Raw genomic sequence first — 25,778 nt, forward strand, 5'->3', positions numbered from 1 at the left:
AAAATCAGGTGTAAATATCCCTTATATTAGTGGTTTCTGACTGAGGAAAAATCCGTGGTTAGACCCCATTCCTAAATGCTAAGATAATGCTAAGAAGATCAGAAAGGGAAATAATTCTTATACATGGTCACTGCTTTCAAGTGAGAACTAAACTCTGACCTTTTTTTCTCTTGCCAAAATACATATCTAAGGCACTTGGGGAGTCACACCCTACAAACCATAACATCTCATTTTGATGGGCTTTTTTCTTAACCCGATATGATGTGCCTTGCTCTCCAACCTCACTCTGGTACAGCATCACATGGCAGACAGGAGGCCCTGAAGGAAATCAAACCATGTTATCCCAAAATATATTTCTTTGACATATTTTGAAATGGCTGCCACAGGGCTAACAGATTGGAATATCCCCCACAAAGCCACCTTTTGTGGGGAAAATTTTCATCTGTAGTGCATCTCCATTCATGCAGCCAGGTCTTCCCTTTCTAGGCCTTTCCCAGATCTAGGAGAGATTAACTGAGAGCCTGACACCTTTAAGGTCTGAGAAGAGACATTCACCATCTATTCTCTCTGAGGGCTGCCACCTATGAGCCTTCCTCTACATAACAAGAGCCTTAGCCCCACAACCCCCTTATCTTAACTCAGGCATTCCTTTCCATGGACTTCAAGTCTTTAGATAATAGCTTAACTCTCAACAAACTGTCAACTAAGAAATCTCTAAAACCCACCTATGACTTGCAAGCCCCATGGCTTCAAGATGTTCCTCCTTTCGTGGCACAACCAATGTATACCTTCCAGGTACTGACAATTTTATCTGCAATTCACATATTGAACCAAACTGTAAAACCAAACTGTAACTTAACGGCCTCAGGAGCTCTTACTCGGCACCATGGTCACTCCTATTGGCTAAGAATAAACCTGTTTAAATGTATTTTGGCAGAATTTGGTTTTCTTATAATCATGAGGCTAACATCTTACCAGGAACAAAGATGACAAATACAACCAAAGAAAAATCACATGAATTTTAACTGCATGATGCAATAGAAACAGTTGGGGCCATAATTCCATCAAAACATAAATGTGTCCTTAATAAAAATATATTAAAAATATAAATATATATGTAGAAGTATAAATAGAGGCCATAAACATTTCCTGGAAATAGTCAACAGCAAGTTGAGCATTAGCCTAGATGAAACCCTTAATCCTTTCCAATTTATGGCTTCAAAAACCACGGGAAGATTTGCAGTTTCCTAGACCACTGAGTTGTACCCTAAAAGGAGGGTAAATCTATATTTTTGTACTGCAACAATGAAAATGTTTATTCACGCTGATTTATTCTATCTCCAGAATACAGGAAATTGAAAATGAATGATGTGGGGCAGGAAAGGGAGAGTCTGACAGCCTAAAGTTTAAGTCCTGCTTTCCTCCTCTTTAAAATAAGGATAACACGAGTACACACCTTAGTGGATTGTTTTGAGTACCAAGTAAAACTGAAACGGCCTTTGCAAAAATTGCAACAGGGAGAAAACTTATGACAGTGAAAGAGTTCTGACCTCACCGACTCCATCTTGCTTCCAACCTCCAACCTGCCTTCTTCATTCCTGGGAGTAGGCAGAACTAACTTAGGGAGAAACTTAGTTTATAGTTTAACTTTAAAATAAGATGGATAACAGACCTTTCCCAAAACAAACCCCCTTCTTGCCTGGGGACAAGACTGCCTTTGTAAAACTAACAAATTCACCACAAGATTGGAAATTAGGGTTTAGGAGTCATGCAGAAAGAGGCCAAAAGATTCTGAACCTCCCCAATTGCTCTTATGGATAACATCACTATTGTAAAACCTAAGATTGGTGTTCAAGGTATTTTTCAAACCCTGCATTCTAATGCATCAGGTGGCACCATCCATACCAGTAAACTGAGTCAACCAGTTCAGCAATCCCACCCAGGCACAGAAGACAGCAAGAAGAATCCACTTCAATCACCTATGATCTCATCTCCAAGCTGACCAATCAGCACTCCCCACTCTCTGGTCCCCTAACTGCCAAATTAATCCTTTAAACACTCCAGACTCTGAGTTTTCAGGGAGACTGATTTGAGTAATGAAACTCCAGTCTCCCTTTTAGCTGGCTCTGCATGAGTTAAACTCTTTCTCTATTGCAATTCCTCTATCTTGATATATTGGCTGTATCTGGGCAGCAGGCAAAATGGACCCATTGGGTGGTTACAGTTAGGTCAGATCTTTTTCACCGTCATAATTTTCTTACTGTCATAATTTTTGCAAAGGCAGTTTCAGAACTATGCATGTAAAGTTCTCCATACATCAAATAAATGTTGGCCTAAATATTTTTTAAACAGGAAGCATGTAGAAACTGAGAAGGAATAAACTGCAGTGTTTGAATATTTAGATAAGTTCCTTTTTTCAAGGCTCATGGAAAATTTGGGAAGCAGCTTGAAAAAGTACTCAACCAGATCATGACTATAATGTTTATTCAGACTAATAAACTGCTTAAATGTTAAAACAATAAATCCCAAATGCAAAGAACACCAGGAAATAATACCATTATGAGGTCCGCAATAGCTATTTCTTGCAATCTACAGAAGATGCACTATAAATATACAAAGTTTGATGACTTCAAATTTTTAAATTTGTGGTAAACAAAGGTGTTTTTTTGTTTGTTTGTTTTTTGAGATGGAGTCTTGCTCTGTTGCCCAGGCTGGAGCACAGTGGCGTGATCTCAGCTCACTGCAAGCTCCGCCTCCTGAGTTCATGCCATTCTCCTGCCTCAGCCTCCCGAGTAGCTGGGACTACAGGCGCCCGCCACCATGCCTGGCTAATTTTTTGTATTTTTTAGTAGAGACAGGGTTTCACCATGTTAGCCAGGATGGTCTCTATCTCCTGACCTTGTGATCTGCCTGCCTTGGCCTCCCAAAGTGCTGGGATTACAGGCGTGAGCCACCGCACCCAGCCAACAAAGGTGCTCTTAAAAATGGGTTTGGCCAAGTGCAGTAGCTCACACCTGTAATCCCAGCACTTTGGGAGGCCGAGGCAGGAGGACTGCTTGAGGCCAGGAGTTTGTGACCATTCTGAGCAACATAGTGAGACCCCGTCTCTCCAAGAAATAAATTTAAAAAAATTAGCCAGCAGAGGTGGCACACACCTGTAGTCCCCACTCCTGGGTAGGCTGACTTAAGAGAAGCATGTGAGACCAGGAATTCAAGGCTGCAGTGACCTGTGACCGTGCCACTGCACTCCAGCCTGGGTGACACAGTGAGACCTTGTCTCAAAAAAAGGGGAGGGAGGTTCAATTTCATTTATCTTTGTAAATTTTTTTTTGTTTGTTTTTGGTTTTGGTTTTAGTTTTGCCTTTTTTGGAGACAGGGTCTCACTTCCGTTGCCCATGCTGGAGTACAACAGCACGATCACGGCTCACTGCAGCCTTGATTTCCTGGGGTTAGCTTATCCTCCCACCTCACTCTCCCGAGTAGCTAAGACTGTCACCATGCCCTGCTTAGCAATTATTTTTAAATAAGTACATTCCTTTCTCTGATTATAAAATAATTACTGTTTATTGTAGAATGTTTATAAAAAGTAAAGCAAACAAAACCCTCACTATCTTGAGATAAGGATTGTGAATATTTTGGTGAATTGATTTACAAGATTGTGTTGCACATATGGGTTAATTTAATATAGTAGAGATCATGCTTATATTGAATTTTGTGCTGCATGCTTCACATTATGTAAAATTTCATGCTGAACATCTTTCCACATTCAAAATCCTTTAATAATCACTTTATTATGTGAAAATCTGTCTGATATATCATAATTTATTTAACCCACCTCCCTTTTAACTGTTGTAAATAACATAATGATGAACACCTCCATAGCCATAAAGGCAAGTTTCCACATTATTATTTTGTAGGATGCAGACTGGGGGTGAATGCACATTTTATGGCTATGATCACATGGAAAAACCCTCGGTTTAGGCCAGGCATGGTGGTTCACGCCTGTAATCCCAGCACTTTGGGAGGCCAAGGCAGGCGGATCACGAGGTCAGGAGATCGAGACCATCCTGGCTAACACGGTGAAACCCTGTCTCTACTAAAAATACAAAAAATTAGCCAGGCGTGGTGGCGGGCGCCTGTAGTCCAGGCTACTCGGGAGGCTGAGGCAGGAGAATGGCCTGAATCCAGGAGGTGGAGTTTGCAGTCAGCCAAGATCGTGCCACTGCACTCCAGCCTGGGTGACACAGCGAGACTCTGTCTCAAAAAAAAAAAAAAAACCCTCGGTTTCTGCATACCTGTGTACTTGTACCTGTTGGTGCCTGTATACCTGAATGGCCTCACAACTCAGGCACCTGCTAATCAGCTCATTAGACAGACCAAAGAGAAAGCTCATTATTGTTTTCATTTACATTTTTTATTTCCAAGCACAAGTAATCTGCATCATTGTTTTTTTGAGGGTTGGATTTATTCTTATCATAGCATTCTTTTTATATTATGGTTATTAAACCTCTGACTAACGTATTTTGGCAAGTTAGTTTTCCTTTCTGTTATTTGCCTCTCATCTCTTCGTTACTTTGGGATGTGCACGTTTTAACAGCCGTCAGATACAGATGCATATTTTCACAGTGGTCAGATAGAGCTTGCCTCCTCTGTCAGGCCGCGTGGTACAGGTGACAGTCCCGAGCTGAGCTTTGTCACTCTCAGCAGAACTCACCTGCCTGGGCTTCAGCCTCCACACTTGTAAAAAAGGGAGCCAGTTGTCGTCTCTCATTTCCCTCCAGCTCCGGAAAGATAAACTGTCTAGTGACTCAGTGCAAGGCAAACTCAGTTCATCCTTCCTAAACTTCATAAATAGCAAATGTTGCCAATAAGGATTAGGTGACACATAAAATCAGAGTCTCTCAGACAACCTGAGGGGCATGATTTGTTTGCTGCAAACTTACGATTTTTCCTTAAGTACCTTACACATGGCTAACATTTGTTCATTTTACTTTGCCTATCCTAGAACAGGAGTCTTCAATCCCTGGGCTGTGGTCTGGGACCAGTCCGTGGCCTGTTAGGAACTGGGCCACACAGCAGCAGGAGAGCTGCAGGTGAGTGAACCTGACTGCCTGAGCTTGGCCCCCTGTTAGATCAGTGGCAGCATTAGATTCTCATAGGAGCACAAATCCTATTGTGAACTGCACATGTGAGGGATCTAGGTTGCACACTCCTTATGAGAGTCGAATGCCTGATGATCTGAGGTGGAATAGTTTCATCCCCAAACCATACCCCTCCCCCAATCGCCCATCTGTGGAAAAAAGTGTCTTCCACGAAACAGATGCCTGGTGCCAAAAAGGTTGGGGACCCTGTCCTAAAACACAGGATTAAAATAAAAAATTCTTGTCTGAGTTTTGAGATCCTTGTTGATCTAAGTCCCAGGAAATGATGTTTCAAATAGAGACTGAAACAGCAATAATGATGCTTTACCTAGTAGCTCCATCTGTCTCAGAGTGAAAAGTAGCACCCTTCCTTTCTGTATTTAGGAAGAAGAGAAACACAATTCACTATTTGGGGAACTTACGGTCTTTATTATGTTCTTAACCTTTTTCACTGTGGTCTCTGGGAACCAATTCTCTCTCCATTCATCTTAACTCACACCAGAAGTGACCAGTTTCTTATGAGCAGATGACCTTAAGACCCGCAGCATGGACTTCATTTGGGGTTGGCCCTTTGTCGCCTGAGGAGAGGCTTATCTTCTTTAGTGCTTTATTTAATGGAATATTCTTCACCTTTGAGCTGTTAGTAGCAAATGGTGAGTGGCTTCTCGTCACCAGTTTTCAGACTATTTCAGAGAAAACTGGTGATCAATGGTTGATAATTCTCTGACTTGAATCCTAATTGCCAAATGCAATCCAAAGTTATTCCGACAATGAAACATTAACACATGAATACTCACTTGCCCTAGTTTAGTAACAGAGACCTGTACGGTCTAAATCTACGGATGGATGTTAGGTGACAAGTTAGCCACCCAATATGCTCAAGTGTAGGTAAAACTGTATTTATTTTCTAAACACAGTGAGCTGAAGACCAGAAAAGGGAATGCATGGTATGTCTCAGACCCTGTGTTAGGTGCTTTATATATGTGGCCTTGTTGAATTCTCACAGCAAACATGAGAAGCAGAAGTATCATCTCCAGTTCATAGGTAACTGAATTTCAAAGGGTTTTATTCACTTAATGAAACCACTTTTGCAAAAATTATGACAGAAAAGTCTGACCTAGGAAAATTATGACAGTGAAAGAAATCTGACCTAACTGACTCCATTTTGTTTCTAAGCTCTAAGTTGCCCTTGGTTCATTCTTGGGCCCAGCCTAACTAACTTTGGGAGGAATTCAGCTTATAGTTCAACTTTAAAACGAAGAAGATAACAGCCCCTCCCCAAAACAAACCCCGTTCTTACTTGGAGACCAGACTGCCTTCGTTAAACTAACAAAGTAGCCACAAGATTAGAATTTATGGCTAGGGAGTCATGCAGCCAGAGGCCACAAGGTTCCAAACTTGGCCAATTGCTCCTACGGATAACTAGTACCACTGTAACACCTAAAACTGATGTTTGTGGTATTTTTCAGACTGTGCATTGTGATGGACCAGCTGGTGCCACCCAGACCAGTAAACTGGTTTAACTATTTATGTGATCCCACTCAGGAATGAAAAACAAGAAGACAGTTTTGGTCCCTATGATTTCATCCCCGACTTGACTAGTCAGCATTCCCCAGCCCCTTGCCCACCAAACTATCTCTAAAAAAAACCCCAGCCTTCTAATTTTTTAATTGTGGGGGGAGGCTGATTTGAGGAAATAATAAAACTCCTGTCTCCTGTCTAGCAGGCTCTGTGTGCATTAAATTCTTTCTCTACTGCAATTTCTGTATCTCAATAAATCAGCTCTATCTAGGCAGCAGTCAAGAACTCGACGGGCACTTACATTGTTATGGCCCTAATATGTACATACTCCAGCCCATACACATCTGTCTGATTCCAAAGAATGACTCTGACTATGCAGATAGTCATAGTTCTCATAATCAACTGGATATCTGGAGGATCCCAGTGCTGCCACACATTCATCTGCATGTGCATTTTCCCTTCTGATGGTCAGGCCTTCTGTTAGCTGCTGCTGCCTGAAGTGTACATTTTAAAGGGATTCCTCCATCATTCCTGCCAATACTGCCATATTATTTGCACGAGGTTCCCTGTCCAGCATTTGCAGGCTTTGTGTAGGTGCTCACACATCTGTGATGTAATGCTGATTTCCTCACCCATAGTAATTGACATTTGAATGGAAATTGGCCATTTTGATTGCAAACATTCTGGAACTGCTATGTTGCCAATTGAAACGGAACCCTCAAAACCATTATTCAACAACAAAGGAAGTCACAGGATACCCATTTGGATGATAGGTCATAGGTGAGAATCACTACGCTAAAATAAATTGATCAAATTGTTCCTACAAGCAATTCCATTTCAGTCCCTGGAATTTGTTTTCACTTTCCTATTCAGCCACATGAATACAGAGGCTGCATCCACTCTATTTTGCTCTTGCGACCAAGGGGTAAAGACGGTGCCTTCAGATGCCTGTGATGGCTCAGGAAGGGGCCTGGGAGGTTGTTGGAGGCAGCCATGGAACCACTGTCAATGGTACAAGTCATGCACTATTCTTTAGCTTGTTGAAGTTTCATTTTCTGTTTGAAAAATGAAACCAATAATTTATCTAAAACAAGTTAAGGCTGGGCGCAGTGGCTCATGCCTGTAATCCCAGCACTTTGGGAGGCTGAGGCAGGTGGATCACTTGAGGTCAGGAGTTCAAGAACAGCCTTGCCAAGGTGGTGAAACTCCATCTCTATTAAAATACAAAAATTAGCCAGGCGTGGTGGGGAGCGCCTTTAATCCCAGCTACTTGGGAGGCTGAGGCAGGAGAATCGCTTAAACCCAGGAGGTGGAGGTTGCAATGAGCCAAGATCGTGCCACTGCACTCCAGCCTAGGCGACAGAGAGAGACTCTGGCTCAAAAAAATAAATAAATAAGTAAATAAATAAATAACAGGTTAAGTATCATGATGATGGCAAATGGAAAGCTGAAAATCTTGAGACTATTTTCAACAAACTTGACTGAAATATACCATTTTCCAAACAGGTTCACCTGGTAGTCTGAATAGAGAGTAGAAAGAGGAAGATGGAAATGAGGAAGAAATACATGTTCTTTGTCAAGAAAGGAGTAGTTTATTAGCATAATCCAGCATGTTCCTGGAGAGCAAGCACCATCCACCATGAGCACCGGCCTGCACTGGGCCACCCATGGGGAGGCACACCAGAAAGTTACATTGTAAAAGCATCTTGTTGCCAGTATTGTCAGGAATCATGGAGGAATCCCTTTAAAAAGCACACTTCAGGGAGTGGCAACTAACAGAAGGCCTGACCATCAGAAGGGAAAATGAGGCTGGGCGTGGTGGTTCACACCCGCAATCCCAGAACTTTGGGAGGCCGAGGCGGGTGGATCACAAAGTCAGGAATTTGAGACCAACCCGGCCAACACGGTGAAACTCGGTCTCTACTAAAAATACAAAAATTAGCCAGGCATGGTGGCACGCCCCTGTAATCCCAGCTACTCAGGAGTCTGAGGCAGGAGAATTGCTTGAACCCGGGAGGTGGAGGTTGCGGTGAGTCGAGATCATGCCACTGCACTCCAGCCTGGGCGACAGAGCAAGACTCCATCTCGGAAAAAAAAAAAAAGAAGGGAAAATATACGTGTAAATGTGGCGACACTAGGATCCTCTAGATACTCAGTTGATTAGGAGAAATATGGCTATTTCCATAGCAACCGAATGTGTGTAATAAACAGTTTTGTTACATTGTAGTTAAAACCACCGGATCTCAGATGGTGAGGGATTTCTGAAATCCCAAGTCAATTTCCTCGTTTCTCTCCTCTAAGCTTCTATATATAGAGGATAAATACATCAGAGTTAATAGTTGCCTAATTTAGAATGAAAAGCAACTGGCAACTGCCCAAAATGCTTTGACAGTAAGGACTATTCCCCAAATCTGGCGAAAGTCCAGGCCTGTTTATCATACAGAGAGAACCACCACCACACAGCAGCCAGATTCTGTGGGATATTTTGGGGAAAGCACCCAGGATACGGACAACTTGGGTTGTAGATCTGGTTTTGCCTTTTCTGGTCACGACTCTTGTGAGCCTCAGTTTCCCCACCTGCAAAGTGAGACAGAACCTGCTAGGTACACCACAAAGATCTGTTACGATGTTAAAGTGAGATGCCAAGTGCCCACATCTGGAAATTATAATGAATTATAAAGATATTTGTTTGGTTTGGGGGGGCAAGGGGTTTTGAGACAGGGTCTCGCTCTGTCGCCCAGGGTGAAGTGCAGTAGCGTGCACTCATGGCTCACTGCATCCTGCATGCACCACTGTATCTGGCTAATTTTTAAAATTATTTGTAGAGGTGTGGGGGTCTCCTTATGTTGCCCAGGCTGGTCCTGAACTCCTGGACTCAAGTGATCCTCGCGCTTTGGTCTCCCAAAATCCTGGGATGACAGGTTTAAGCCACTGTGCCCAGCCAAGAATAAAAAAAAAATTAAAAGAAATATTTCCTCACTGACAATTAGTGTAGGTAAAAACAGGCAAATTGAGTAGTTTGAGATAGTCACAGTGAAGGAGACTCATGGTTCCTAATCACCAGCTGAATTCTCAACTGAATTCTCAACACTGACATGCTCAAGAGAAAACTATGACATACCCACATACATGCACATGCCTACACATGCACATACACACATGCATACAAACCCACACACAAAGCACATGTACACGCACACACACGCACACAATTCTTTGCCTCCCCTTAATTATTTGCAAACTCTTAAGTATCTAACACACTTGGTATCTGAGAGCCAAGTCAAATTAAAGTTTCCTTTAATTCTGAGCACCTGTATGCAAGACCCCTGCTAGATGTCTACACGAGGCATCCCTTTTCATCATCATATTCACTCGTCAGCCAGGGAACATTTACAAGGTGCTTGGGGAACGCAGACAAAAGCAGCACCTCTGAACTCTGGAGTGGAGCACAGTAGCGTGCAGGGAAAGGCTTACACGCACAAGAGCAAGAAGGGGTTTCAGGTATGGTGAGGGAAATGCATATGGGATGCAGAGAAGATGAGAGTGGGGATCGGAAGGGGTCTTGCAATGAAGTGAGGGGACACCCAAGGAGATGCAAGAGCTCATCCCACCAGAAAGAGCCCAGCTAAGCAGGGGGAAAGCAAGCCAGGATGTGAACCTGGACCCGCATGGAACAGCGTCCTCCCAGTCCTCAGGCCGAAGTACTGCCTAGGAAGGAATTTGGCTATGTGAGTGCTGAGCTATTAATATGGTTGTTATGTCTGACGTGTAGCTCTGATTGCCACAAACCACATGAAAAAAAATGTTGCATTATATAACAGACACTGAGTATTCAATTAAACGCAGCCGAGATAGTCAAATTAAAATATAACCCACAGATGACTCATCTCCACTGTACTTCCTAACTTTCCTCAGATGCCATCTTTAATAACCATCAAAACACAATCCCTTTGAATGAACGGAGGCTTTGGAACCTGTGCAGTGCATACAAAGGAAGTATGTTTACCAGAAATATATCTTCCCAGCTGATCTATACTTATCCTCTTTCATCTTTATCCACATTTCATACAAAGAAAATAGGCATTGCTGTTACCACAGAAAAGCATGAATGCTACAATTCTCAAAGATTCTGTGCTTTCAAAGATAGCTCTAAAAGAACCCTGACAGGATATAAAGGGTTAACTCTCTATTGGGTTGGGCAGAAAAGAAGGTTTATCCAAGGGGGTAAGCTCAGCCATCCTCCCTCCCTTCCATAGACACATCCAACCACGACTCCCTCACTGGATTACGCTGCCCAGTTCACAGCCAGGGGCATTTCCACAGCTGTTAAACCTGCATCAGGAAACAAACGGCCTTATTTTTAGCTTTCAGTGGTTTGTGTAAAACCCCATAATAATTAGGCCTCATTACTCTGTGCAGCTCCATGCCACGGTGCCTCTGCACAGATGAACAGGGAGAGCTTTGGCCTTAGAAAAAAGGTGCCCACAACCCTGGTCCTTGCACGCACAGCTCGCCCCAGCAATCACAAGAGAAAGGCCCTCACTTCTAATGCACAGTGCACAGGCGTACCTTTCAGGGCAGTGTCATTACAACCCCAACCCAAATCAGATCAAGAAAGGAAGACACAGTCACATGAGGATAGGAAAAGCATTACCAGGAACACAGAGGCAACTCCAACAGACCCAACACATCTTTTAGTGTTAGCATTCTTCATTTGCTTTACAGTTATTTTAAAGTAATTATAGCTTTACAAGATGTTGCAAATGTTTAAAAGCCCAGGATGGTTCCACATACCCCATGCCCAGTGTCCCCCAAGGCTGTCATCTGGCATAATTCTAGCACAATATCAAAAACTAGGAAATAGACATTGGTACATTCCACAGATCACATTCAGATTTCAGCAGCTTTAGATGTAAACGTGTGTGTGTGTCTCTGTGTGTAGTTCTGTGCAATCTCATCACATGTATAGGTTTGTGCAACCACTACAGTTGAGATACAGAACCAATCAGAACCGTTCATTGTGACAGGCCTGCCTCGTGACCCCCTTCATAGCCACATCAGCCTCCCTCCTCTCTAATCCCAACCCTGGCAATGACTGACGTATTCAACTTTTCAATTTTGTTATTTTTAGGAACTTTATATGATTTTCTATCTAATAGCTCTACAAATTACTAAAAGTGGGGTGCTGAAATCTCCAACTATAATTGTGAATTTGTCTGTTTCTCCTTTAAGCTATTAGTTTTGGTATCACGAATTTCATGGTTTTGATGCACGCATATTTGGGACTGCTATGTCTAATCGCTACACTGATGTTTTAAATTGTGATGTGATGTCCTTCTTTTCATTGCTCTTTAATCTACATTATCTGACATAGTCATGCCTGCTTTTTTAAAAGTTAGTGCCTGCATAATACATCTTTTTTCATCACCTGACTTTCAACTTACCTGTGCTGTCATGTTTGATGTGAGTTTATCGGAAAGCATGCACTGAATTTGCATCCTAGTTTTTATTCATTCTGAAAATCCCTGTCTTTAAATTGCTATGTTTAGACCTTTTATATTTAAAATAGATATTTTAATAGCCTTGAGAGGTCAAGGCTAAAGCCTGCCAATTTATTTCTTGTTTTCTGTTTGTTCCGTTTTCTATACCTCTGTTTGCTTTTCCTCTTGCATTCTTATAGATCACATGAACATCTTTTGGAAGTCCATTTTAATTTTTCTATAGTGTTTTCCATTATATATTTTTGTATGATTTTTAGTGATTAAGTTTTAACATATATGTAAGTCATACATCAGAGCCTACTGGTATCAGCATTTTAACACTTCAAACAAAATTTAAAAACTTGTCCTCTATTAAGTCCTTTTATTCTCCCATCTTTTAAAATAGAAATGTCTTAAGAATTTCCTCTACATTTTTTTAATAGAGACAGGGTCTCACTTTATTGCCCAGGTGGGAATGCAGTGCTGATCATAGCTCCCTATAACCTCGGACTCCTGGACTCAAGCGACCCTCACCTCAGCCTCCTGAGTAGCTGGGACTACAGGCATGTGCCACCATATCCAGCTAATTGATTTTTAAATTTTTTGTAGAGATGGGGTCTTGCTATGTTGCCCAGGCCTCCTCTACATTCACTGAACACTACATCAGATAGTAACGTTAATTTTTGTTTCAATCTTCAAACATACTTTTAAAAAAACTCATGAGAGGGGCAGCCTATTGTATTTATCACTCATTTACTCATACCATGTTCAGGGTGTTTTAGTTGTGGACAGGGCATGGGAGGAAGAGGGATACGCCATGTTGGCCAGAATTACAAGCCTCATCTTCACTTATAACTTCATTCAGTCTTGACTGTGTATGTTTCACGGTGGAAAGAAATCATTTTTTTGCATATTAAAAGCAATTTATTTATTTATTTTTAATTATTATGGGTACCTCATAGTTGCATATATTTATGGGGTACATGTGATGTTCTGATATAGTCATACAGTGTGCAATGATCAAACCACGGTAATGGGGTACCCATCACCTCAAGCCCTTATCATTTCTTTTCTTTTCTTTGTTTTTTTTTTTTTTTTTTTGGTGGAGTTTCGCTCTTGTTGCTCAGGCTGGAGTGCAATGGTACAATCTCAGCTCACCGCAACCTCTGCACTGCCACCTCCTGGGTTCAAGCTCAGCCTCCCAAGTAGCTGGGGTTACAGGCATGTAACACCACGCCCAGCTAATTTTGTATTTTTAGTACAGACAGGGTTTCTCCGTGTTGGTCAGGCTGGTCTCAAACTCCCGACCTCAGGTGATCCACCCACCTTGGCCTCCCAAAGTGCTGGGATTACAGGCGTGAACGCCCTTATCATTTCTTTGGGTTAAGAACACTAGGAACATTCCAATTCTACTGTTACAGTTATTTTTTTAACATTTTAATGTATATTTTATATATAACATTTTATATTTTAGCATTTTAAAATTAAAGTATTTAAAATGTTAAAATACAAAATACATTATTTTTAACTATAGTCGCCCTACTGTGCCACCTATCACTAGATCTTATTCATTGTATCCATCTGTATGTTTCTACCTGTTAACCATGACCACTTTATCCCTCACTCTCTGCCACTCTTCCCAGCCTCACCACTCTACTCTCTCTCCACGAGTTCAATTTCGGGGGAAGAAATCTTCAAGATCATAGAATTAAATACTCTCATTTAACAAATGCAAAACAGAATCATCATGCAAAATTGCAAAGGTAGCAGAGATTACCAAACTGTTATTTGTAAGGCTGGATGTAAACATAAAATTAAAGAACCAAGATTTAAAAACTAAAAGTATCTTTTAAATAGCTGTAGTAATGACAGTAATAATAGCAAATTAACGTTTTCTTTTTGATATTTACCCTCTGGTCCACCTTAAGTGACATTCCATTTCCCATGCATGACAAGAGGAGGAATAGGAAATAAGGCAGAAAAAGGAGCTGGTGTCAGGTAAAAGGAGACCATAAATGCTCATGTGGGCACTCATGTTGGAAGGGCTGGGCACTCCCGACAAGTCATTTCATCTTTCTGGGGCACCATTTCCTAATCTTCAAAATGGAAATGATAAAACCTCATCTAACTGCCATACAGGCTTATGTGTTGTTGTTGTTGTTTTTCTTTTCTTTTAAAGGTGCTAATGAGCTACTTCATATGACAGCAATAGGAAAAACTATAAAGTTGTACAGAAGAAAAAGTATAAACCTGGCTATTTATAATGGATGATAACAATAAAAAGTGTGCATTTGTGTTGAAATGGCACGTGTGGTAAGCCACTGAGACAAGTAGGTTTACAAGTATAAAACCTTTCTCAATCTCAGATAATCCAAAGTAGAAACCCCCTGACCTTAGACTGTTATTTTACCAAGCACACGCACAAACATGCACACACAGACCAGCTTTTTAGCCTGAAGCCACTGTCTAAAGGAAAGCATGCTTACATAAGTACACTAGCACTGAAAAATGGCCTCTGTGAAACTCCTCAATAATCCAGCCAAGTGTGATGCTATTTTTAGGTTTCAGGGGAAATGAATTGTTCAGATGAAAGCATTACTCCTTCATTCTACCCAAGTACCATATTACTTATGGTCAAACAATTTTTAAGGCACCAACTGAGTAGTGTATTTCTATTGCTTGGCAGATGGGAAGCAAGAACAGAATATTTTTATTGTGACTCTTTCTGAAAAGTAATTTGTCAGAGGTAATGTACTTTCCACTCACCAGCAGCATACCCGGCTTCTTGCACGCACCGAAGTCACTCAGCGTGGTGAAGTAAGGGGAGGCCGAGGGCTGCAGTGACCCTGCCAGGCTTGTCACGAGCCATTGGCTGCTCTACATGAAGCAGTTCAGAAACTACAGGTGAACATGGAAGGATACGAAATGGTCTGCAAGCCACTGAGAGCCTGACAGTCGTTACTTGTATGGTTAATCATCAGTGCATGTCAAATGCAGGGCAGGGCAGGAACTAGGGAGGCAATCTAGTGCCTCTTGCCTCTTCAGGGATTCCTATGTCACCTGCAGGACTCAGGATATCTACGGGAATGGAGGCCTGGGGCGCCCCCTGCCTTGAAAGAGGAAGGATTTGTGCAGAAGCAATGTTCCATGGTCCTAGGACACATTTAGCCAGAGTTGCTCTCAAAGGGAAGACTTGTCAGGAAGAAGAAACATGAAGCCAGTCGCTTCACGGCCCAGGAAGCGTTGAGCAAGAAGGATCAGGGCTCTCTGTTTCCACTACAGCCACCTCTAGATCTGAACACTCATCTCTGCCTTCTTCCAGGGAGGCAAGGAGTTATCCATCCCTTCTGAAAATGACCTCAGCCAGCACAAGAACTGGTGCCCACCCCCGTGCACACCAATTGCAGGGGTTAGGTGCTTTTGGTGTGAAAATAACAGGACATGGATTGATTGAGAGCACACCGCTCCATAATACATGAATATCACCTCGCTTCGGTCCCGAACGCATCCTGTATTACTGTCTCTGTTCTACAGTGAAGGAAAACAGAGGGTCACGGTTGCAGGTTTCACACCTGGGTTAGGGCGCAGCCACGATTCCAGCCAAAGTCTCCAATGCCAGAGCCCGAGGAGTGAACTGCCAAGCAGCAGAGCCTCCCAGGACTTGTGGGGACCATAGATGTTGGCAGTGGAGTTTTCTTATTTCTAGTAGGATCTGGGGGTGACACAGTCCGGGACATTTTCATCCGCCCCCTTTCATCTTAACTGCTCTGACTAATGCGGCCACCGGATGGAGTGCACCAGAAGAACCAGTTCAGGATGGTAAACTCTTGTGTGACACAGTTCTACCTGGAGCATGTGAACTCCAAAGGCGGGGTGCTAGCGCTGGCTGTTTTAAAATGCATCAGCCTTCTACAAAAGGTGTGGTTTAATCAGGTTTATTTTAAATTCTTAAATTCATAATATGTTCTCTTTGGTATTAAAAGGTGACCTCCACTAATCACTGAGTTAAAACAATCTAACGGTAATTCCTTCTGCTGTGGTCTCAGGCACTCATTCCCAGAGTAGGATCTCCAGACCGGCAGTATCAGCGTCACCTGGGCACTTGTTAGAAATGCACATTCTTGGGCCTCATCCCAGACCAGTTTATTCAGAAACTCTGGGGCTGGGATGCAGCCAGCTGTGTCGAAACAATCCCTCCACGTGACTCAGAGGCATGCTCAAGCATGAGAACCTTGGGTCTGCAAATCCCGTATGAAGTAGGAAGTCCAGATGCAAGCTCAGAGCAGCAGGCCAAGGACTTGCATTTAATGCACTGTAGTGAGGTTGGCCAGAGAAATAAAACAATCAAAACGAGGTTTGAGGAAGATAATTCCAGAAATAGGAAACAAGATTCCCTGCGTAACACCCTGCGTAACAGTGGTTTTAAGACCACAGTTGCTGGAGTCACCCAGACAAGAGTCAGAGTCTCAGCTTTGCTACTTCCTTATAATGCAGGCCATTCTCCATGAACCTTGATTATCTTCCCTATAGAAAGGGAACAGTAACAGGACCTACCTCACAGGTTTCTTTGCAAGCAAGGAAATAAAGAATATGCCTACTCAAAATGAATACAATTTACTTAACTTAGCAAAGTAAATTGGAATTAAGATATTTTAAGGTAAATAGTGTTAGCTATTTTAGTGCTAATGTGCTATAAAAAATTAAAAATATGAAAACAAGATTTGATACTATGATTGGCAGAAAGCAAATATTCTATGACTATCATTTGTATAAGCTCTTACTACATGAGGCCGGGAATGCCTGCAGCCCCTGCCTAGGGCCGAACTGACTCAGTCACACCAAGGCTCACTCTTCTTTTGAGAACCCTCAGCCTCATACATACAGTTTTCCCTTTACCTTGGATGTCATTTATGTGTTTTTTTCTGTCAATTGGCCTGTCAGCTCTTGCTAAGAGCATGTAGTCCCTAAATACTCCCTCTTTTCTATCTTTTCTTGAGAAAGTTATTTAATCAGTGGTGTTGAAGAATTAATGTGTACTCCACAAAATAATACATAGCTAAGATTAAATCATATGTAAATAGAGTTCCCTAATCAAGGGGAGTAAATTGTATGACTATAACATCTGAGGAAGTGAGCAGCAAAACCTCTCTATGCAAAAACTGTACACATTAGGCCCTCAAAATATCAAGTCCCATACTCCCCAAGGTTGTAGAGGACTATGATTTAAGAAGCATAAACAAAGTTTAAATGAATGCATGGGTGATTGATTCATAAATGAACATATTCCCTGCAGGGTACCCTTGGGTGAAAAGCAAGGCTAAGATTAATCACACCATATCGAACACAATGAGGATGACTATGCATCCAGATAACTATTGTACCTGCCCCTCCGTGATGGCAGCTGGAAAGTCCTGGTGTCAAACTATCTGATTCCCCAGAGTAAGGCTCACTGCTTTCCATAAACAGCCCCACACTCCGTCTATCTGTCTGTTTCCCTCTTCTTGTTCTGTCTCCTTTCTTGGTTTATCTCTTTTCCCACCTCTCAAACCCCTGGTGTATCTGCTCTGTGACCCCCACAGAATCCTGCCCTTTCCTTGCCACAGGAATTTTATCTCTTTCGTTTCAGTGATGTCCTTCCTACTTAGGGAAGTATCTCCAAAATTTAGACAGCTTGGATTAAGTCCTGGCTGCATGTTCGCTAAGTGTGTGGCATCCCAAAGCTGCATTTTCCTCATTTGCTTATTGGGGATTATGCTGGTATCTTCCTCGTTGATGTGCAGTGAGCAGTGAATCATATAAGCTGTCCAAAGCACCTAGCACATTGTCTGCCATGGGGTAGGTGTCCAACATGGTAATATTATCATTTCACTTCCTTAATTATTGATAGTTCACACCACAACCTGCTTTTCCCTCCAAGAACGTGGTGGCCTGTAATCTTGGGATGTTCTCATCACCCACAGCCTCTTTCCAAGACTCACTCTGTCTCTCTCTCTCTCTCTCTCCCCACCCCTCTCCTTTAACTTGCACTCCCTCAGTAGTCCTCCTATTCTGACATAAAAATGTCCCTTTCTTTGACCTTTTCTCTTGGCTACTTAAATACTGGTCCAAGACTTCCTATTTCTGCTGTCTTTCCTTTGCTACCTTTTCCTTCCATCTTCTACAACCACCATCACCCACTCCCTGTAAGAGCTCTGAGTTGTTTCAAGGTTCTTGTTTTGATCCTGATCCTTTCTCTCTTTTGGGTCAAGTTAACCTTTCCTGTGATTCCCTTTCTCAGGATTGGGTGCCACTGCCTTTTGGGCATTCTCCTGATGCCGTGCACTGCACCTGCAGTATGTGTGTCTGAATCCAGTGTCACTTCCAGAGAGGCCCTGTCCATCTTCCAATGCACCCCTCATGCTGTGCAGGAGGTCACAGTCACGGTCACGGGCACAGAGCCACGTGAAGGGAGCTGCTCGAGCGCCCCGGAGCCTCACCTGGGAGGAGACGCAAGAAGTCTCCCGGTGCGGGAGCCTACAGGGCTGAGCGCGGAGACCGCTACGCCCCAACGCGGGCTCAAGCCCAGCGGGTAAGCGGGGCGGGGCGGCGAGCGGGAGGGAGGCCAGGCAGAGATGTGCAGGATGCTCCAGGTGGGCATGGAGGGGCGGGAGAGGTAAGGGTAGGCGGGAAGAGGGGCCCGGGACACAGTCTGCAGCAGCAGGGCAGGGCACGGCGCACTGGACAGACCCGGTCCAGGCACTGCAGCATGGGCTCCGGGAGGTGGCAGGTGCAGGTCTGACGACAGCAGGGTCGTGGCTGGCTGCGGAGGGGCGCGGGAGGCTGGGCGCAGAGGTGGCCGCCAAGGCGCGGCTTCGGAGCACGGCCTGGGAAGGGAGGAAGGGAAGAGAAGAGGAGCCCAGGCCCGTGCCGACCGCAGCTCCACGCCAGCTCTCGAGCCGCGCGGCCGTCACAGGAGCCCGCTCCGGCCGGGCTTTCCATACCCCGGCTGCAGCTTTTCCCATAAATATCGAGATAGGAAAATTACAATTCTGGGATTTGGGAGGATGATACTACTGACACTGAGAAAATTATGAAGTGTAACTGTACTTTGAGCAATTTGATGAGATTCATATATGCATACACAAGACACAAGCTACAACTTGTAAAAAATTTAAAACTCGCTTTTCCTATGCCTCTTTCTTTCTTTTAAGCCCTTGCCTTTTCCAAAGACCATTCATAGCTAAACATCCTTATCACACAGCTACTCTATGAGATATTTACTTTTTAAATAGTTTTATTTTATTTTTATTTTTTTCAGAGAAACGTCGCTCAGTTGGAGTGCAGTGGCACAATTACGGCATCAACCTCCGGGGCTCAAGTGATCCTCCTGCCTCAGCCTCCCAAGTAGCTGGGATCACAGGTGTGCACCACCATGCCTGGCTAATCTATGAGATAGTTGACTGCTGAGGAATAAGCCCTACGCCACTTAAGGAAGTAAGAAATACTGTGATGTGTAAAGAAATGACAACATTATGCCAATCAAGAAGAGAAATAAGGCCTTTTATTTCCAAAAATGTCCTCAGAACAGAAGCTGAATAACTGGTCATTTTCCTTTCAGGTTCTTGATTGATTTAAAATTTTTTCCATGATAAAATAAATTAGGAGAAACTTCCATCACTAAGTGATTTGAAATAAACAGAATTCATTATGCTACTCAAGTATCTGGCAAATTTGTAGCAAACTCCAAATTCATTTTTCAAATATGTCTAAGAAGACATGCCAGAGATGGCCTTAGTTGTACCACAGTTGTGCCGGAAGGACAAGAAGACCAGCTAAGATTGGAGCAGGGACACATTCCTCCAAGTTCCCAGATGAAACCAGTGCCACTAAAAAGAGAATCTCTGGGTGAGGGCTTCCCGTTTCGAGAGTGCTTTAAACATTCATCAAGAGACCAACAGAATCTATAAGGGAGTTGTGTGCTTTATAAATGCTGGGGGTGCTTTATGGATGAGTCGTATTAAAGAATTATAAATTTCTTATTTGATTAGTTGGGGTAGGCTTTCCTGCTAGAATCTCAGACTGATTTTATTGTGCTTCATCAATTTTATGGTTGACATGTTTTCAATTTACTTTGTACTATTAAGAAGCTGAAATGAGTTTTGGAAGTGCATAATCAAGCCTTTCCTCCCCTCCCCAGTGCCACGGGGGGACAAGGTGGTGAGGGCTCTGAGCCTGCTGAGCAGACCACACGCAGGGAATTCTGTTTTCTCTCCTAGTCACTGTCTCAAAGAGTTTGAGCTCATTTGATCCCAGGGAAAAAGTTACTTGTCATTTTCACATCTATAAGTTTGCTAATTCACTTTGATATATATCAACAAATGGTTTCACTATAGAAACAATGGGTCATACCGAGAAAAATTTGGAATAATTACCCTGTATCCTTCTTGTTTTTTCTTAATGTTTTTCTCTTTTCCTAGAGTTTTCTTTTCCCTCCCTCCTTTTCTTTGCGTGCTTAGAACTTTACAAACTGTTGGAAGGTCCAGAACGTGCCACAGTGACATAGGATTATTTTGAGCTGAAGACATTTGAGAATCAAGGAACGCAGGAAGAAACTTTCTCTAAATTCTCATTTTTGCCCAGAAAAGGGACCCTTCAAAAAGACCTCAACTGTCATAAATCCCATCTCCAGGCATTTTATAACCAGGGAAGATTGACTGTTATCACAAGAGAGCAGAGAAGTCAGCGCCACACCCAGACATCGTCACAAGCCACCACATGGCCCATCTGTCCTCCTAAGACCCACTTATAGTTCCTGAAGATCATCTGCTCTTCCGTAAATGGAGTTTCTCCCTCTCTCTTTCCCCTAAGAAGATTGGTATCAGCTCTCAAATCTCACCTCTCCTTTGCGTATTCACTTCTTTCCATGATGCCCCTATGCACATAAAATTTAGCAGTAATAAGTTAGTAGGCCTTTTCTTCTGTTCACCTGTCCGATGTTGCTTTAATTCACAGCCCTCCACCTCCAGCCCCTGAACCTAAGAGAGTGGAGAAAAAAATTTTTCTTCCCTACACTGTCCAATACCATTGATTTCTTTTCTTGGCGTAATTCTCCATGTACACACACAAATTAAAGTTTTGATGATGGGAATGTCTGTGGGCTCAAACATCATGATCAGAGCAGATGCGCAATGTTTACAAGGACGGATGAAAAATATGTGATGGAGGAAGAATGATAAAATGCCATTAAAGAGAGAAAAACACCAAGAGAAAGGAGACAGCAAAAGAAAATGTAGGCCTGTTGGGGTTGAATAACTACTTATTTCATGGAGTCTTAAACTCTTGTTTCATAAAAACATTACAAGCACATGTCATACTTACTTATCAAAAGCCAATGCACAAAATGGAAAAACTTGCATTTTAAGCAAAAATCAGAGTATATCATAATGGAGCTACAAATTGACCTCCTATCGTGTTTTCCTGGGGTCACTCTTTCTGGGACTAAATTCCAAACAAGCCGGGCACAGAAAGTGGGCATTTCTTAAAACTCAAGTAACTCTTGAAACTCAACATTCATTAATTCTGCTAGAAAAAAGTTGCAATTGTAACTTCCTTCCTTCCTTCTTTCCTTCCTTTTTTCCTTTCTTTCCTTCCTCCTTCCTTCCTTCTTCCTTAGAGGGTAGATGCAGGCAACTTAGTAACAAGGCTTATTTTAACACATTGTTTTAAACCATAGATGAGTGAATAGCTGAGTTCAGACTTCAGCTTATTCATGTTCTTCACATTCTCTCTGGAAAGTGAGTTCTTGTGGCCACTGCATTTATCTCTATTACTTACCGGACAATGTCAGCAGCTGTACCTGTTCACCTAAAATTTCGCTTCATCCCCTAAGGTACTTGGAGTATAGTAAGATAGAATGGTAACCTCAAAATCCTGGCCATACAGTGACACTGATGATACGAATTACTCTTCCATTCTTAGCCATGGAGCAAAGACCCTATCCAGCATGGCTGTGAAAGCAGTGACTGTGAAAGCCACCAGAAGCTCCCTCATTCAGAGCAAATCAGACAACTACGTGCATCACAAGACAAAGGTCCCAGGCAGGAAGGAGAAGCCAGCCCCAAATGCCACTCTTCACGGCAGATGCCCATCACGCATAAATCTAGAAATGCACCAGAGTGTTAAAAACTTTGTCCAAAGCTTTTATTCTTGGAATGGAATAGAGCTAGAATGTGACAAGTTAATTAATGACCCATTATGGGGAAAACTCCACATTAAAGCAGATTTCTGTTTCTATTTATATCTTTTACCTTAGCAGTATTGTTATGTAAGTCCTCTCTTAAAGATATATACGCCTAACATTGTTAATCTATAAAACGTGTTATCTGGCAGCAAAAGCCAAACTGTTTCAGGAGTGTGTACATTAATGTATTAATTCAATCAATCAATCACATATTTAACCCCCCCCTTTTTTTTTTTAGTATTTCCTGAGATGGTGTTTTAGAAACCATGGGCAGAGCTAGCAGGGCGCAGTGGCTCACACCTGTAATCCCAGCACTTTGGGAGGCCGAGGCGGGCCGATCACCCGAGGTCAGTAGTTTGAGACCAGCCTGGCCCACACGGTAAAACACTGTCTCTACTAAAAATACAAAATTTGCCTGGCATGGTGGCAGGTCCCTGTAATCCCAGCTTCCTGGGAGGCTGAGGCAGAAGAATCACTTGAACCCAGGAGGCGAAGGCTGCAGTGAGCCGAGATCACGCCACTGCACTCCAGCCTGGGTGACAGAGCGAGACTCAGTTTCAAAAAAAAAAAAAAAAAAAAAGAAAAGAAAAGAAAGGAAAGGAAAGGAAAGGAAAAGAAAAGAAAAAGAAAGAAAGAAAGAGAGAGAGAGAAAGAAAAGGAAAAGGAAAAAAAAGAAACTATGCACGCAGCAGAGAGGAATATAAGACCCTGTACTTGCGGCATTGAAATTCTAGAAAAAAAATAACAAACAAATCCATATACATTTAATGAAGTGAGGGAGACTGATAAGATCTATGAGGAAAAACAGAGCCATGAGAAGGGGCAGGCAGGGATGCCACAAGGCCTCTCTGGGGAATGACTTTGAGCAGAAACCTGAGGGCATGTGCCCAAACGAGACCTGAAATCGTGAAATTAGAACCAGGAAGAGTGGCTGCAAAATTATGGGAAAGGATTTCAACAGAAATCCTTTTTTCCAACAGAAATCACCAGTTTTGAGAAGGGCAAGGCTTACAGGATCAACAGGACACTCCTGCATAAATGGAAGGGATGGCTTCATTTTAGATGTACTGTTTTCTCCTTGAGGTCAAGGTAATAACATATCAAATAAAACCAAGTTACCACAAGGAGTTAACCTTATATAATCCAAGCATCTGCCTTCCTTCTCCCTGAGAAGGTAGGATCAAACTGATCAAGCTAGTGGGCCTTCCTATGAAATAATTACTTGTGGTTTCAAAAGTCTCAGGAGTCCCTGGGTCTCTTAATGAGGAACTGAATATTAAATTACACTCGAGAGCTCTGGGTCCAGTTGAGATTGTGGAGCTGATTTCTCATAGCACTGCTATTTCTTTTTCTCAATTTTCTGAACAACAACAAAACATGTTAAAGATCTTTTGCAGCTTATAAAACCAAAGATTTGATTTGGAATCAGTGCCCTGTTCTACTGAAGAGTGGAGCACTGGCTCAAAAGAGGGAGCTCCACCACCTTCTGTTCATTTCACATCCACACTCGGGCCCTTCCAAGAGGACCTAACCCAACCAGGAACCCGTTTAAAGACTGGATGACTCTGAACACCCCCTACCTTGTGTGTCTGTGTGTGTGCCTGTGCATGTGTGTGAGTGTGTGTGCGTGTTGGGAGTAGAGGTAAGCAGTGTTAAAAATGACTCATGACATTTGTTCAAGAAAATAAGGCAGACTTTATTCAGAACCATTGAGATAGGTATAAGGGCTATTGAGATAGGTATAGGAACCACTGCAGTGGATCCTGCAGCTGGGGAGGAAGGTCAGACTCACTTCCCAATACAACAAGGAAAGGTGGGAATTTATGGCAAAAGAGCAGAATGTGTTTATGTTGGAGGTGGGGGGAGGTCAGTCAATAGCAAAATTACTAGGAGGTAACATCAAGGGTAAGGGAGGATCCTGGAAAAACTGACCTAACTTTGTTTTTGCTAAAGACAGGCCAGGGTGATCAAACACCACCAGGCAGATGGTAAATGAGAAAACTGAACAGATACCGAAGACAGTCAGATATCCAGGGTTGGGGGTTCTGGTCGAAATGATTTCGCAGGGTTCTTGCTAAAAGTTTCCAATGCAGAGATGAACACTGACACCCAAAGGTCAGGGCCCAGTTGAGAAGTGAGTTCAGAAAGGCCTGATTAGAGTTTGGTCAAGGAGAGACTCTTTGTCATCAGAACTTATGCAGTATTCAAGTGTCCTTAAGAAAGGAATTGAGCTAATTAATTACAGTGCTTAAGGAGTCACCACTAGACCCTCTATCTTTTTGCATCCATAAGCACAGAGCACACCTTTCAAAGTTCCTGAGTTGTTAAGCAATGAATTCTTCAGCACCTGCTTGCAACTATTTATTTTGTTTCAACAGACTTCTCTTTGTGACTAGCACTTGATTAAGTTACACAAAATCAAATATCTGCGGCTCCCCCCAGGGTTTTTCCTCTTCTCTTTTCATTTCTGACTGTGGTCCTGCCAAGTCCCTGGGGGTGGAAGGCTGGCTCAGGGCATTGTCCATCAATCTGTGAGATGAGAGTGGACCAACAAGGAGTGGACAGGCTCCCAGACACGAAACAGAACCCGGTAGGACTAAAACTACCACTTGGGAAGATCACAGAGACTCAAGGCACTGCACTTGTGTGTGTACACACATATACACACACAGGTGCACAGGGGCAGAACTGCCATTTCTTTATAAGTGTTCAATTTCTTATCAGAAATGGCTCTTAAGTTCAAGCTACTAACACAGGAAGAAAAGAACTTAGTGAGCTATTCTATCTTGCTATCTTAGATTTCAGTTTCTTAGGCATACATACACTCCTAAATTCTCCATGCTTAAACATCTCCATCAGGCTTAAAATAGATCAGTCTTAAATAAATCTTGTTAATTCCATCATTTACATTACACTCCCCCACTAACAGACCTAAGCATGAATGATGTTAATCAAATAATACTTTCAAGATAAAATAAATGATTATGATTTCCACATGATACCAGATATTATATATATTTTTTCTTTGAATTTTTTCTCCCTTAGATTTTTAAAAATTTATATAGTGACTTTGGTTTAAAAATCTATTTTAGCAATAATATTAACTAGAGAAGTGGCTCATGCCTGCTCATTTTAGGCTTGTCTTTTGAGTGAACTGGGTATGACAGGTCTGGGACCTGTGCTGGGAAGAACTCTTCCATGATTGAAATGGTAGCACATGGAATAACATCGATAAGTTGGATCCCAGTTGCCTCTTTTGACCTCTATATTACTTTTATTCTTTGGCCTCATCTAAAACATCTGAAATTTAAGTCCTTTAGATCAAAAGGGCAGGACTGAAAACAGCTGTGATTTCAGAGGTAGGAAGGCTGTTCTGCCCCCCAAATACGTTCCCTATTAGATGAAAGGTGCCCCAAT

At 42.5% G+C, this 25,778-nt stretch overlaps 1 protein-coding gene and 1 long non-coding RNA gene across 5 annotated transcripts in view; both read right to left on the reverse strand.

Moving 5' to 3' along the window:
* The window catches only part of GABRB3 (gamma-aminobutyric acid type A receptor subunit beta3), a 230,212-nt gene that overhangs the window by 107,929 nt on the left and 96,505 nt on the right, over positions 1-25,778 (reverse strand). The gene's annotated exons all lie outside the window — the stretch shown is intronic.
* Positions 5,548-7,791, reverse strand: LOC124903578 (uncharacterized). The gene is made up of 2 exons (XR_007064793.1): positions 6,964-7,791; positions 5,548-5,876 (listed from the first exon to the last, which is right to left on the reverse strand). It is a non-coding gene; the product is annotated as an uncharacterized LOC124903578 (long non-coding RNA).

Source organism: Homo sapiens, chromosome 15 (genome assembly GCF_000001405.40).
Source record: "Homo sapiens chromosome 15, GRCh38.p14 Primary Assembly".
Classification (NCBI taxonomy): Eukaryota; Metazoa; Chordata; class Mammalia; order Primates; family Hominidae; genus Homo; species Homo sapiens.